This window comes from Homo sapiens, chromosome 7 (genome assembly GCF_000001405.40).
Source record: "Homo sapiens chromosome 7, GRCh38.p14 Primary Assembly".
Lineage (NCBI taxonomy): Eukaryota > Metazoa > Chordata > Mammalia > Primates > Hominidae > Homo > Homo sapiens.
Genome location: NC_000007.14, coordinates 18,284,186 through 18,301,064, shown reverse-complemented (window position 1 = coordinate 18,301,064; position 16,879 = coordinate 18,284,186). Strand labels below are relative to the sequence as shown.

General features: G+C 35.9%; 1 protein-coding gene across 8 annotated transcripts in view; it reads right to left on the bottom strand.

Annotated features, from left to right (window-relative positions):
• The window catches only part of HDAC9 (histone deacetylase 9), a 915,592-nt gene that overhangs the window by 701,352 nt on the left and 197,361 nt on the right, over positions 1 to 16,879 (bottom strand). The window contains exon 1 of one of the 8 annotated variants that reach the window (NM_001321896.2): positions 10,550 to 10,616. The exons of the other annotated variants lie outside the window; for them this stretch is intronic. The gene's annotated coding sequence lies outside the window, so the exon portion shown is untranslated. Of the gene's footprint in view, positions 1 to 10,549; positions 10,617 to 16,879 lie in introns of those variants that run through there. 8 annotated transcript variants of the gene reach the window in all.

Genomic DNA, 16,879 nt, shown 5'->3' with positions numbered 1-16,879 from the left:
TCCAGAGAAAAAAATGTTTGCATTTCTTAACTTCAGTTTTGAAGAAACAAATTAATTTCTTTAACTCAACTTAATAATTCTTTATTTGACAGGAGTTTTCTCAGCATGATTCATGAGGAATAGTGTGAGCTCTCCCTTATTATACTGTATTAACTAGAATCCATGACTTTAGGGGTTTCAACTGCCATTTCATAACCTTTAATACAATAATTATATTTTTCCTAGAAGTATTTTTTGTCAATTACATATACAAAATCATCTTTGTCTTCTAGAATATATGCAAAATTTATTTTCTAGCAAGCACAGACAAAATACGGCTTTGCTAGTTTTAATATAACCGGTCTGTTTATGTGGAATGGTGTGTGGTATATAGTTCAAGAACTTTAATGTTACATTTATTAAGATCTTTACTTATATTTAACTGGGAAGATAATTGCAAACTGAAAAACTAAGTCAATCTGTTCTTGTAGTATGTCTTAATTTTATTGTGATAAAAATAATGTCTACATATAATTAACATATTGTTAAACTGCTTTTTTTTTTTACTTATATGCAGAGACTAGGCATTATTCAAAATTTTTTAGTGGCTTATACAACCTGCTTTTAAAATGTCCTTCACTTCATTGTTTCTTCATGAAGGTATTGATAAGTCAAAGAAAACCTGACATGTATAGAAGAAAGCCTTCCACCAGGAGTGGAACCAATTAAAAACGGATCTTAACCCCTGTCATTCCTTGGAAAAGTCAGTATATCTAGAGCAGGAGCGTCCAATCTTTTGGCTTCTCTGGGCCACGGACTGGAAGAACTGTCTTGGGCCACACATAAAATGCACTAACACTAATGATAGCCGATGAGCTAAAAAAAAAAAAAAAATTTGCAAAAAAATCTCATAATGTTTTAGGAAAGTTTACAAATTTGTGTTGGGCTGCATTCAAAGCCACCCTGGGCTGCACATGGCCCGCAGGCCACAGGTTGGACAAGCTTGATCTAGAGAGAGGCTGCTGTAAGGGGAGGAAGACCTGAATTTTAGGGTGGTGGTATCTGAGTTCCTGGGAAAGTCACTTAATGTCTCTTAGGACCTCAACTGCTTCATTAACAAAAGGAGATAATAAAGAATATCTTGCTTGTCATGACAGTCTCTTGAGAAGCCTTCAAAATTTAACATCTTTGACTAAAATACGTAGCTCCCTGGAATCAAGAAGAGGAACAGTGCTTGCTTGCTAAGATGAAGGTGGATTGGTAGCCTTTTCTCCGCACTGCTTCAGATCTACATTGCAGAGCCCCTGAATGACTAATTCTGGAGATTTTCCTTTACCCCTCCGCCAATCATACTTTTCAACCAAGTTAGAATTTGTTCCTGCCTTCTTGAGCCAGCACCAACCTGTTTTACAAATGGCATCAAGCCATGCATTTCATTCAATGATAACCTTTCTTTCTCTAACCTCTCAAGGTGAACTAAACCTTTTTTTCCTGACTGTAAAAAATCAAATTATGTCACCTCATTTCAAGGAAAAGATCAGTAATGGCAGCCAGACCCAAAACACCATTTGTATGCAAAGAGAGTTAAACTGCTGGAAAAGTACCCTCGCCAGTAAAGTGTGGTATCATTAAACACAGACTAAATTTGAAGCAGAAGTGCTAGGAAAAAAAATATATCTTGAAATGTGATAGGGTCCATTACGCTTCTTGATGAGATTACTTGTCTCTCCAATACATTACCCAAAGGCGCTTACAAAACAAGGAATATATTACGTTGGAATTATCAGAACTTTTCTAAGTAGGTCAAATTTTGAAGCAAAAAATACTTCAAATTTTATGCAGTGTTGCAAAAAAAAAAAAAAAAATCTTAAGAGTTGTACAGCCAAGGTGCTAATCACTTTTTAAAATAAATTTTTAAAAAAATCTTACTCTTGCATAAACATTAAATGTACCACTTTACAATGCAGAGTCCTACACCTGAGGTTATTTACTGTCATCTTAATTCATTTTTCAACAATAAACTGAATTTTTATTATATAAATATCTTTATTCATTTGGAAACTCAAGAATAGTTGGGCTCCAAAATAAGTTTAAAATCTAACTCATCATTTTGAATCTAACAGATACAATCCTAACTATAAATACAGAACACTTTCCCTCCTACTTACTGGGTTTTCGTTCACGGTGTTGTTACAAAATCACAAAATGCTGATATGAAACTTTTAATAAAATTTCAGTTTTCCTATAGGTAAATTCATAATAACAGCTTTACTATTTGTTTTTATAACTTTTTATATGGGATATTTAAACCAACTCACAGCTATAGCTATATGACTAAGAGTGTCCTATGTAGCAACACTGTCACATAAAAATTGACTTAAGAACAGTCAATTCAAATACAAGCTAAACAAAGAAAGTTCATTGACTGGAAAGTAAAAACTTTTGAAAATTATCTCAAGTAAGAATTGATGAGTTCATGTCCTTTGTAGGGACATGGATGAAATTGGAAATCATCATTCTCAGTAAACTATCATAAGAACAAAAAACCAAACACCGCATATTCTCACTCATAGGTGGGAATTGAACAATGAGATCACATGGACACAGGAAGGGGAATATCACACTCTGGGGACTGTGGTGGGGTGGGGAGCGGGGAGGGATAGCATTGGAAGATATACCTAATGCTAGATGACGAGTTACTGGGTGTAGCGCACCAGCATGGCACATGTACACATATGTAACTAACCTGCACAATGTGCACATGTACCCTAAAACTTAAAGTATAATAAAAAAAAAAAAAAAAAACATAAAAATGTAGGTCTTACATTTCTAATGTTATGTTTATAAAGGTTAGATAAATATGGATCAGAAAAGTACTTGTGAAAATAAATAATAACAATATCACCCTGTTTAGCTTACCTCTGCCATGCTACCATTGAGCACCACTTTAGGTTCAGGCAGTGAAACCCCCAGTGAAGAAGCCATCTGGGAGTGAATATATTAGGCCAATCATAGTGTATTGTGAATTACTGGAAATAATACAGACTTGACACATTAGCATTAGTAAGTAGCAGGACTCTGAGAAAAACGAATTTAGAGCTGTAACATTTAAATGGCCTGTGAGAGAAGAAAGGGCAGAGTGAAATCCCCCAGGCACAGGCCTTAGGCAGGATGGAACGTCATTAAGGCTAAAAAGCATAGAACATTTTTGCAATGATTTGACACATTATCCAGACCAACTTCTTATTGTGAAGATGAAGAAATGTAGGACCAAAGAAACTAACAAAAAGGAGAATGGCAGCCCTAGAAACAAACTTTGTTGATGTCACATTTTTACCTAGCACTGACATTTACTGTGCCACTGGTGGTTCTTCTGATGACTAAACTCCTTTGGATCAGGACTAAAAACTGTGCCAAGTCTTACAAGAATTCCAAGCCAAACCATAACATCCTATTTACTGTCACAAGAATCTAACCTAGTTTAGAATGTTATTGTAGCATTCAAACATTTAACATGTTGTTAAAATTCCACTATGTATTTATGTATCCCCAAACAAGGTATGAAATTTGAGTTTTTAAATGTCTATGCCTGTAGGATGGATTGGCAAGGAGAGCAGTCAGAAAAATAAAACAAACTCAACAGCTATCTGAGAAATGCAGACACATGGACCAAAGAATTGGTGCAAAATTCTTTGGTCCACTCCGTTTAATGGCAAAAACCACAATTACTTTTGTGCCAGCCTAATAATCCCCTACCATAACATATATTGTAAAGACAGCCCGAGGAAGCCTATACGTGGACATAAAACAGTTTTTAATTAAAAGTTTTTTAAATAAAAAAGTTTTTAAATAAAAATAAGCAAAAGCCACAGCAAAAGCTTATAATGTGTTTTAAATACCACCATTAGCTATGGGCATTCCCTAAGCTTTTTGTCCCCAGGTTTCTTCCTTTCATGTGGCTTCAACTCGTACCTACACGGAAGTTTCTCAAATCTTCACCTCCAGCTCTACTGCTCAACAATGACGTCTCTAAGTCTCTATCTTGAATTGCCCAGACAGAGCAAGCTCTCAGATGTCCTGCTTCCATGGCAAGTACAAGTCTAGACAATAAACATGGCACTTCAATCTTCCTGAAAGAAGGCACCGCATACAAAGTCTGTCTCAGCCTGTGTGCTTCTTGTCCCCTGCCTCCTTCTGTGATTCTGTTCATAAAACCTCCATTCTAACACTGTGTTTAAACCACTGTCATCTTGACCTTAGGCTCCCCCTTTCTCCACAGAGGCAGACAGTCACAGAAATGTCTACTTCTTTCTAATGGTGCCACTGCCCCCGCGCTTGGTGCCAAGCCTCAAAGCCATGTGTCTGCATTTCTCAAATAGCCATTGAGTTTGTTTTATTTTTTCCATGGCTCTCCTTTCCAATCCATCCTACAGGCATAGACATTTTAAAAACTAATTTCATACTTCGTTTGGGGATACATACATATGTAGTAGAATTTTAACACAAGGAAACAAGAAACAAAATATTTAGAATTGTGTTTCTCCTTGGCCAAGAGGGGAATTCACAAAGGAGGTTTTATTGATAATGGTTAAATTCCATATCCTGCGTTAGTTATAGGTATCTAAGAGTTTATTATAGTTACACACACACACACACACACAAATATGAGCTATATGAATTATGTTATAATCAAGAGAAAATAAAATTTATTATTTTTAAAGACGTAGATCTTTACAGGTTTAAAGAAAATTAATCTATTAAATGTTTAAAGTATGTTTTAATACTGAAACTTCTCTAAAATGCACTTCAGCATAGGAACTAACTTTGCATAAGGAAGCCAGTTCTGCTGTAAGAAGTCTAACATGCACTGGGTGGAGCACTGTCCTCTATTTTTAACCACATAAATAAATTCTATTGAAAATTCTGCAGAGGTAATTCACGTGAGTACACAATACTTTTATTTATTCACGTTGTTTTTTACAAAGAAGTTTCAAGATAAAAACCAAATTCAAAGATCACTTACTACACAAACCTACTGGTAGACCATGAAAAAAAGGCAGTAAAGGATCTCCCACTCTCCTGCAGAAAAATTCTAGTGAAGATCTACTATTGCCAAGGCACTGAGCAGGTCTGCATTAGTCTATGTCAAGGTTTCTCAGCCATTGACATTTGGGGCCAAATAATTCTTTGTTGTGGGGGGTTGTCTGGTGCATTATAGGATATTCAGCAGCATCCCTGGCCTCTTCCCCCTAGATGCTGCCCCCTACATTACCTGCTGCCAGCTGTAATAATCAAAAATATCTCTAGACATTGCCAAATGTGCTCTGGGGTACCAAACTGCCCCCGGTTGAGAACTACTGGTCTACGCAAATGGTTCCCTCAGCAATGGTACCTGGTAATCTTGATATTGGGAATACACAAGAAGAAAGTGCTGATTTCAAGTACTTTTGCACTTCCAAGGAAGTAAGTTTAGACCAGCATAGTTTATTACTGCTTCCTTGTATACCATACAGTTATGTAAAGATAGAAGTAAGATAATTTCTAAATATACTGCCACTTGGGAAAATAATATGTCTCTTTTATTGTCTTCATATATTTATTCAATTAGTCAACAGTAAAACTGATTAGTCAGTATGTTAAAATGCAATGCAATTTTAAAGAAATTATATTTTCTGCCTGTTTACTTTATGTCAATGAGCTCCATGATACCAATTCCATGGTATTTTTTGATTATTTATTAGCTCCTTAGCATTTGACATGGATAATCACTCCTTTCTCCTGAATATGCTATTTTCTTTTGTTTTCCTTAAAAACTACAACTTTCTTGTTTTCCCTTTTCTCTGACCATGACTTATCCACCTCCTTTACTGGCTGCTTCTCCTCTGTCTTCTAAATTTTGGAATTTCCAGTGGTTAAGTACTGGGCCCTCAGCTTTTCTCACTTCATCCCATCTCTCTGAGTGATCACATCTATTTCCATGGCTTCAGTTAACATCTACATGACATCTTATGCCTACTTGACATCTTCCCTTGAATGTTTCAAAAGCATGTAAATTGAGAAGTCCAAGCCTGCTTTTTCCAATTTGCCCATCTTCACACAAGACGTCTCACTAGACCCAGTTGCTAAACACCATAGGATCATAATTGATGCTCCCCAATGACATCCAATTGTTTACCAAGTCCTATTAATTATACAGTATTTCTCACTCTGTCCACTGCCCCTACACCCCTGACACTGTTTAATCCAAGTGGCCATCATTTTTGGACTAAGCTATTGAAATAGTTTTCTAACCTATTTCCATGTGTCTACTCTTGCTCTTCACGAATCTATTCTCCACTCTGCAACTAGTTTAAAAATATTATTCAGGTCATGCAACTCCCCGTGTAAACCTTTCAATCACTTCTGATTGCACTTGCACAACATGCAGCTGCATAACATGACCTACTAGGCCCAGCACGATCTGGATTCTGCCAGTACCTCTAAGCAACTTCCCCACTTTTTACATGTTTCAGCCATGCTGACCTTTACTCTCTTTCTCAAAGAGGCAAAACTATTTTCCATTTTGTCATATCCAGTTCCCTGTGACTAGAAGCATCTATGCCATTCAGGTTGTTTAAAGTTAACTTCATTTGAGAAACTATCCTTGATCCCCCAAAGACTATAGGATACGCTATATAAATACTTAACATGTATCACATGTTAAATTAATACAACACCCCTAGCAGCTCAGTATCATTTTACAGGTGAAGAAACCACGGAATAAGAACATTAGTTAAATACCCAAAACCAGAGGGTAATGGGCTTTGAACCATGATTCTCTAATCCCAGGGTCTGGGATTATCCATACACACACACCCTCTCTCCCAATGTAGACAGTACAATGTAGTTAGAATATATTTTGTGAACTATAGCATCACTTATTTCATACAACTCTTTTTCACCCCAAACCTGTGAATTTTCTGAGGGCACAAACTGTGATTATTGATTTCTGGATCTCCAGCAGGAGATGCTAAGCAATTGTGAATAAATGGACAAAAGAACAAATGAAGACAGAATTCATCTCAAGGGAAAACAATGCTTTATCTATTCAAGACTTTTAATACATTTTATTATTAAAATTTAAATTGATTATTAAGTTAATAATTAAATCAAGCATTTAAATCAAGCACTAATGTTTATTGATTTTTAAAACTTATTAAATGTTTACATTTAATAATAGCAGTGACATAATGCATTGACAAATGTTAAAGATCAGGATAGAAAACAATCTGTAAACATGAAGGCACTAGTACGCAGTAATCCCGTGGGTGACCAACCCCACCAGAAATTACATTACTGCACAAAGAAGTGGACACTGACAAGCTAAATGGCACTCTGAATCTGTCTCTAATGACAGACAAATACAGAAATTTCCGACCCTAAACCATGCTTTACAGGTTGTGAATATGTTCTTATGAGATGAAGACATTAGAGACAAAAAGAAAAAGAAAAAAACCAAGATGATGGAACAATTCTGGAAGATGGTTTGCAGTGGCCAGTACTAAAGAGCTGCTCTGCTTTCTCAAAGGTTTAAGAATCTAAGAATGCCCGGTGTGTGATGTTCCCCTTCCTGTGTCCATGTGTTCTCATTGTTCAATTCCCACCTATCAGTGAGAATATGCGGTGTTTGGTTTTTTGTCCTTGCGATAGTTTGCTGAGAATGATGGGTTCCATATATAACAAACCTGCACGTTGTGCACATGTACCCTTAAACTTAAAGTATAATAAAAAAAAAAAAGAATCTAAGAATGTGACATAACAGTGACCCTTCCCACTTCACTCCCCCCAACACTGGCAGCTGCAATTCCCTTTATCCTTTTCTTTTTCTGCAAAAAGATCATATGATTTCAAATCTCTTCCAATATTTTTATAGGTAAAGCTTGGCTGATTCTGTCAAGATGACAAAAGTACTGTAGCCAACGAAGGAAAAATGAACGATTGCAAATTGTATCAGATTGCCTGATAAAAGGCAAGTCAATCATTTATGTCTGATGTTTGCATTTTTAGCTCTAAATTTTAGACCATGTCCCCTTGAGTGAAGAAAAAAAAAAATTTAAAACACCATTACTCTATTGGAGGGGAAAAAAAACTCCAAAGTTGTGAAATTAACCTCTCTCTTCATTCACACATTCAGTTCTATTTTTGCAGTTGTACCCGTAATGTAAAAGATAAAGCACTTCAAGTCAATTCCAGGTTTCTAAAATGTCTGACTGTGCATGTCCCAGTTCTCTTCAGCACCTCCCAGAAGATTCAGCCAATTTTTATTTCTGCAGCGCATCAATGTTTATCATTTGTTTTACAACAGCACTCCATGTTCTCAAAAACTGACTTAGATATATTTCACCCTCCTCTACAAAAACTCAAGAGAGACAAATGGCCTTAAAAACAAAATCCACCACTGAAGCATGGTTAATTTACTAAAAGAGCATTTCTTTTTTTTTACCTGTCAGTTCAATATTTACTTTTTACAGCGGTAACTCCACACCATCCCCACCCGCCTCTGTATTTGTCAAAATTTATGACAAATTTCCAGCTTGTAATTAGGCATTCTGAAAATACACTGTGGGAAAACTATTACTAGAGAAAAGGTTTTCCATTCAGCTTGCTTTATAGGAATACTGACGACTTTCATCTTCAGGAAGCCTAAGAGCAAAACCACGGATGCATTTCGAGTGCACATGTTTGAACAAACCTATTTCTTGTGGACAAACGCTCTAAGAAGTCAGACAGACTTGGAACAAAATCCTGGCTGTCCCTTATGAGCTGGGTAAGTAGCTTAGCTTCTCTGCACCTTAGTTTCCTTTTCTATAAAATGAAGATATTAATATTAAGTATTATATAGGGATATAGGGAGGATTAAATAAGAAAACCACATAGCACAGTGCCAGGTGCATTGTAAATGCTCAATAAATGACAGCCATTACTATAGTATAGAAAAAAAATAGCTTAGGGAAGGTCCTCACCATCCATTTGTTGCCATCCTCAGAATTTCACCATTCTCATTAGCAATGAAAAAAGTATCTGAGCAACTTGCAGCCCTGGAAGACCTCTACATCAGAGATGGATGCATAAGAGCTCAGATATGAGGCAGCCTCTAAGGCCCAACAGTGTTGCCTAAACCCAACTGCAGCGCCCCTCCAAACAGACATTAGAGGAGTCCATGAAGCCCATGACAGGGTCTTTTCCATTAGATCTACTCCTTGCTCTGTGAGCTTAGACCAATCTCTACTCCCTCATCCTCAAAGTGAGAGGGTGGGCAAGACAACCTCAGATAACTTTTGTTTGTAGAGAGAATTAATTCAGAGCTGGTGGGGGAAAGCAAGAGCAAGGAGTTTTCCCAGGGTGCAAAAGCAAGCAAGATATCTCAATGGAGACTTTTCCTAGCCTGGCATTATAAAATAATCAGGAGAAAAGCAATGGTCAGAAGACAGCCCAATATGCTCAGATACAACCTTTGGCTTTCTGCTTGGACAAATCACAACCCTACCATCACTCTAATAATTTTGACCAACAGTTGTAGGGCTAACAAACAGTGAGCACTCTATGTTCCCAGCAATTTTCTGAGTCTTGGCATGCACTGGTTCATCATCCCTCATGCTCAGGAGATCAGTGCTATTGTATTCATTTTTAGGTGAGGAAACTGAGACACAGAAAGGTTAAGAAATTTTCTTAAGGATACTGGATTGTGACAGAACCAAATTTGACCCCAAACAGTTTGGCTCCAGAGACTACAGTCTTAATATCTACTATCCTCTACTCCTGCTCCCACTGGTAAAACAACCAGTGGAAACTCACTTGTGCTTTCTATGACTCATAATTCAATTTTATGTAATAATATTTCTCTAAACTTTATATTGCTGAGCTGGTATGAGCCTTTAGGAAACTTTAGGCCTCTTTTATTTAATGTTCACAATAGGCATATTTCAAAATGCTGCAATTCAACTAGATTGAAGGAGGGAGTGTACCACAGAGGTGTGGATTACACAACCTGGGCTCTGAAGTCATAGCTGTTGAAGCTATGTGATAGATGCATGGGAAATCTCTATACTATTCACTCTATTTTTGCTTGTGTTTGAAATTTTTGATAATCAAGGAGTTAAAAGCAACAAACATTTTCAACCACAAAGAAGACAACAGAAGACTAAGCTGTTTCAGGATCTAGGCGGACATTCAGCTTCAGTAGATAATGCCCCTGCTGACAATTCCGGGCTAAATTTCAAAAAATCAGAGTACAGGAACTTATTCATCAATATTTTTCCTAATTCAAGAACCCTCTCCCCAAAATACTTTAGTCTTGTCTATCTGAAATAATAAAGGCATTCTCAGAGTTGAATTTTTTGCTCAATGTAATTTTTGTTGTTGTTGTTGCTACTGTTACTGATTGGAAAACCTTTTGCTTCCCTCCGCATGACAAGTTTATCTTTCCACAGCCTACAAGTTATTAAAGACGATTTGCAGAGTCAGACTTAAAAACATCTACCCCACTATCTTTTTCACAGTTCTCTTAAAAGATTAAAATAAAGAAACTTACCCGTTTTGTTGTGCATTCCCTCTTTGCCAAAGTGTGCTGTGGTTTCGCAAACTAGCTCAGTCCTTCTGAACTTTTCTGTATCCGTTATAATATTAAAGAGCCACAAGGAAGGGAAGTGGTTAGTCAACTTGCTAATTTTATCAGTCCCTCCCACTGGTTAAATAGTACCTGATGCTACAGATGCAATATCAGTTTTCCCAACTCATTGCCCTGCTACTGAACGACTTTATAAAGACTGCATAACTTGGGGGCAAAGACAGTTACTATAGCTGGTATGCAGGCATGAGAGAGTTAATGAATGAACATTTTATTACTATTAATAAGAAGCCTAATAGACTACAGAAACCAGCAATTCAACAGAATGAGGAGGAGGAGGAGGAGAAGGAAAGAGAATGTTTGTCAGCTCCATACTCTAAGTATACTCAATTTGGGTAGGAAGGGGAGTGATTTTTTAATGCAATCAGAGGACGTGTGGGAAGTGGCTGGTGTTTCATTTGTTGATAAATGATTCTGCCCTGGAATGGATCCAATTTACCGGATATAGAAACTTCCACAACTGGGGGCCCTGGCTCTGACGACTTTCTTTCTCTGAAGCTTACTAATTAAAACACAGGGCAAAGTACCAAATGTGTCCCTCTGAATGAGGGAAAATTAGACATCCTCTGAAGAAGCAGCTATGAATTGTTTCTTAGATGGAAAGGCCTGCGGTGAATGAGAGGAAAAAGAAGAGGCTGAGACCGATTTTAATGAAATAAAATGATTTTGCTGTTTCAATCCCACTCCAAAAGATTTCAACATATAAAACACTGTCACTCCAGAACCCTAGATGATGCAATTTTCTGAGCTACTTAAATGGGTGCATTTGAATTAAATCTGGAGTACTCACTTTGAAGTGCCTTTCCCACCATATCTAAGGATTGTGGCATTAGAAAAAAAAAGTCTGAAAACCAAATCATCCTGAAGCCTCACTAGCTCTTGCTTTTGATTGGCTAGGAAAATGTTTCTTCAAAGAAATTCTAATTTTTAAAATATATTTACATGTGGTAATAGTTTCACAAAAAGAGTTAAATTTGGTAAGCTGAGGCAGGTTGAGGAAACTAGCAATTCTGTCATTGATACCCTTCTTAGTATACCCCCAATGCAGTGATACTTAGCTTATAAAATAAAGAAAGGAAAAACTTTGAAGACTTATTGAATTTATTTTCCACCTCCTAAGTCTCTTTTATAATTAGATCTAAGAAAATGAAAATCTAAGTACTACACTGAAGGGAAATACAAGCAATGCCTTGCTCTGAGATCTCTCCAATAGTTTCTCTTGAAGAACAAAAACTGCACAATTCTAAGCCCCCAAGGTCATATTTTTATATTTGGTCTGAGTTTAAGGTGAGAACAAACACCTGAAATCAATACTTCATAGTCATGACTCTGGCTTTAGTCCCTCTCACTTACATCTGTGGCTTTTGCATCTTCAGGAAAGAAAGAAGAAAAGACACAGTTCTAGAAGAAAAAGAAGAGGGGGAAGTGAAAAAGAAAGGGAGAGAACTTTGCTTCATTGTCCCCTTCTCCAAAACTCTTAACAGCTTCCCCAAGCATCTAGGTTTGGTGGCACCTCCTCGGCTTCATCCACAGGCCTTCCTCATCCATTCAAACACACCTACTTGCCCCTCTCTGAAATCCTGGAGCATATTTCATCATCCTCTCAGTCTAGGCATAACTTATTTCTATGTAATGTCTTTCTAGAAGCCTGTAAGCCTCTTTAGGACCAATGTATATTCTCGATGGTCACCTAGAGCATTAAGCTGCTCAAGCACAAAGCTTCACTTTTAAAAACAAGTATTTTGTAATGCCGCTTTTACTAACCTAACACAAAGCTCATAGTTTATACAAACAACCTCTATACATAATATTCTTTTTAATCATAAAGTGCTCCAGGCATGAACATAACTTACATATTGAGGAAGTCATCTGATGCCTGCCCTACTACCAACAAGTAAATATGAATTAAAGAGAAGTAATAAGCAGCCAGTACTTTTTCAAGAAGAGTAAGAAAGTGAAAGACTGGAGGGTTGAGTGGTTACATGGACATTAGGCTAAAATTTAGTATTAGAATAAGAAACAATAAAGCAGGCTTACAGGCAAGTGATAAAAGGAAAATAAGAGTAACTGAAGTCTAGATAACATGCCAAGGCAAATTATAGATGGTAAAAGTAAAGAACACACAAAGAAGAATTAATATTCTCTCATAAGATCTGATATTTATTTCTTATTCATAAAAAATGTTAAAGGAGTGTTAATTTTGCTTTTTGTTGTATTGAACAAGGGTGCTACAAATGAGCACTGATGGAGCTGCACTGTGTTGGTTATTCAAATACCATGAGCCACCTTGTTGTCAGCAACATGGTTTTCCAAATGGTGAACAATGCACAGTAAACCTTCCAAAGCAAAGAACAATTTTACCTGAAATTATACAGTAGCTGTAGTCTTAGGAAATTCAACGTATACTAAAATTGAATTAAAGCAATTTTTATATGTGCAACCAGTTTTGTTTCCAGGCTCAAATAATTATAAACAGGTGTTTCACCTATATGACTACCCAAAGGGATTGTTGAAAATGCAGGACACAACTTCCGGGTCCAGTCCTCTCACATAACAGGACTGCAGTCCACTAAATGCCAGTAGTGCTCTCCAAGCATTGCGGCATCCAGAAAACACTTTCCAGTCTTCCCTTAGGGGCCAGTACAGCCTCATTGAAAAGCACTACCCTAGACAAACTACTACCCTTCAAACAGCTGGCTTTGGGAGTCAGGTAGGCACATCAAGATGTGAAGGAGACCAGGGCAGGAATGCGCTGAATGCAGAGTGCATGCTCTGGCTGGCTAAGGCCAACTGTGGCCATCTGCTCTCAACTGTGGCCAACCAGGATTCTGAGCCCCAGCAGCACAGAATCCCCATCTATCAAGAGAAGGTGGACATCTGGATTTTTATGTGAAACCTCCTTTTTAAAAAAGAGTTGGCAAACACTCTTTGAACTATGCAAAGTTTGTCTTCAGGCTAACATGATTACTGGTTGCTCAATCAAAAACATATAACAACATTTACAAAATATGTAATGTCAGAGTATGGTATTCAGTGTAACAAGTACTTTGATCCCCTATTGTATATAGGAATTATATAGAATAAACTGGAGTATCTGCCAACATGTTAATGAGAATTCTCTAAGAATATATTATTTTTTCATTTTTCTTTTTTCTTTGCAGTATTTTCTAATTTTTCTAAAATAAACAAATAAGGCTTTGCAGTAAAAAAAAATAAGCAATAGAAAATATATTTCCATTTTAAAAATTGGAAGATGGTAGTTATAAAAAGCTCTTTAAATACACTCAGAAAAAACTACCATTAAAATGGGCAAAACAAATTAAATTCCTTTCAAATACCCAGTTCTGCTTCATCTGAAGCACTAGTTAAAGATCAGATGTAAAAATTAAACTGTCTGCAAATCAGAACAGGGATATGCCTGGTAATGGAATCATTACCTTGTGTTCTAGATATGTAAGTCATTACATTATCTCTTTTATTAGATAGTCAGAGCCCACACAGGAAGGAGGCAAGTCTGACTGCGTGTCATAGAAAGCACCCAAATGAATTGTGCATCAATTTAAAAAGACCTAGTGTTCTAAAAGTGGTAAAAAATAAACTTTCCTATGAGCAATAATAATAAAGTTAACCTTTAAAATGAAGGTGCTTTAGTAATTTAATTACCTTTTTCCTATTTACAAAATTAATATTAGAAGATGAGTCATGATGGAATTCAATAAAATTATTTTATTAACTTCCTCTAAGGCTTAAAAAATACTTTATTAAACCTCTCTTTTTATAATTCAGTCTTATCCTTCACTCTGCTAAAGACTTGGACCACATTTTATTCCTATAAAAACTGATTTTCCCCCAAATTAGAAATATGTAACTAGAAATGATTCAAAGCTGATCCTCCTAGGTACCAAAACACAATATCCTGAAAAATAAGCTTACACCTTGAAATATCATACATAATAAGACCACTTAAAACACACATTTATATAAACTATAATTATTATTTTACATATTATATAATATTATATAAATACATATTACTATATATGTAATTATTATTGAATTTTCACAATTTAGAAAAATGTACCACTAGACTGGATAGAGAGGGACTAATTGAACCATGGTAACTGGTATGAAAATAATGATGATACAATTTTTAGAGATATTACCTTTTCTTTTTTTCTTAGGAAGCATGGTCATGCACGGTGCTTATTTTGAAAGGAAATTCAACCTTTTCCCTCTTAAGTTATATGCTGACTAGAGCTTGAGTTCTTAAATATGTGTTCAAGTTTATTCATTTCAATTCTGCAGAATCAGAAGATTATACAGTTTGTGAACTAAATCTTTCCTTTCAATTGTATCTTTCAATTTTGACTACAAAAGCAAATGTTTACAGGTTTGAAAATTGCTAGTTCAACATTGTTGGGGAACTCAGGGTGAACAACAAAATTACCAGTTGCCCAGCATAAAAAGAAAATCTCATTAGCATAGTATCATGCAGTATGTTTTTCTGAGATGCATCCCAAATTTAGTCTCTTTAAAATGCCTTTGACACTTGACTAAATTTAGTGCTAAGGTGATTATTTTTAGCCAAGATTTTGCTTATTGACATATATTCAAATAAATGAGAAAAACTACCACTGGAACACAAAGTGTCTAAATATGTACTTGCTGAAAAGAAGGAGCATTCCAGTGTGCCTGTCTTCTCTAGTAAACATAAGACATAACACTCAACTTCACTGGTAAGCAAGTAAATGTAAATTATGAAACATTAACATTTTCATATATCATTGATGCTAATAGATAATGACAAGCACATGATGTGAAAAACACTGCTGGTAGGAGTGTAAATTGGTACACCTTTCCCAGGGAAAAAAATGTCACACTATATCAAGAATCTTTTAAAACGTTCACACTCCTTAAGAGTGATTCTATTTCTAGGAATCATTTCAAAAGAAAAAAAATCAAGGATGTGGATAGTGATTTATGTAAATGAATGTCCATCACACTGCTACTTTAAAGTGTCACTGAATAACTGCAAATGGTGTATATTCCCAATATAAGGAAAATAGTAAAAGAAATTATGGTATAATTATGTCATTATTATAAAAATTTCTACAAATCATGATACTGAAAATACTGAATAACACTAAAAAATGAACAATACTGAGTAAGAAAGGGGATAGAAAAATATACATTATGACTTGGTATTAATGACCCAAGTCTTAGAACCCAAACATACACTTGCCATTCACACCCTCACAATTTCCCCCAAATTTTATCCCACAGTCAATGGAAAGAACACCAAAAGAAAAGCCCAGAGTGTGAAGACTGTGTCCTTTACTTGTCCTTTAGCTTCTGGAATTTTAGTTCATTTTACTTTGGTTTAGTGGATTTTAATTTTTCTCCTTGATAAAGTGAAGCTTGTCTGGCAATTCAGAAGCTTTAGGTGAAATCCACCCAACTTTAATGTGGAAACAACTGTCATTGGGTCCTTATTTTAGTTATTCCACAAGAAATCACATTACTTTTTAAATCAGAGTGCTGAAAATCATGTCTGACTTATAGCAAAATGAATTTTTAAAATTTTACCTGGGACAACAGTAAGAGTGAGTGTTGGATTTAAATCAAATGAAGAAGAAAGAAATCTACCTGTATCTAGTCCCTATAAAACCAAGCACTGGACAAACTGGAGCTCTTTTAGTTCTCACAACAACCCTAAAGGTTAAGTTTTCTCATTCCTAATTTACACATGGGGAGACTAATTTACCCAAAGATTAGATAAATCGGCCAAGTTCTCACATTTGGTAAATCAAGAACCAGAATTCATTATAGTCGATCCTGACCACAAAACCAAAGACTAACACGATATACAAAGATTTTATAATGGAATACAGGCAGTTAACCCGTGGTAGTCTTCAAACACACTTTTCTTGTCTGAAGTTACTTTGGTGGAAGATGAAATAGGAGATAATGGAAAATTGGGTAAAAGCACACAACTGAATACATTAACTGAGCCTATATTTTCTCAACCAAAAGTCAGGACACAGGATCTGAACCTGTGAAACAGAAGTAGTCCCAGAGTTTCATGTTTCATGTAACCATCATTTGCCTAATGTTTGATGAAAAAATATATACATATGTGTGTGCATATGTGTGTTGTAAATACCAAATTAAATTTATAATTCTATTGACTTTAAAGGTAAAGTCACACAAACAATATATGATCATAAAATCAAG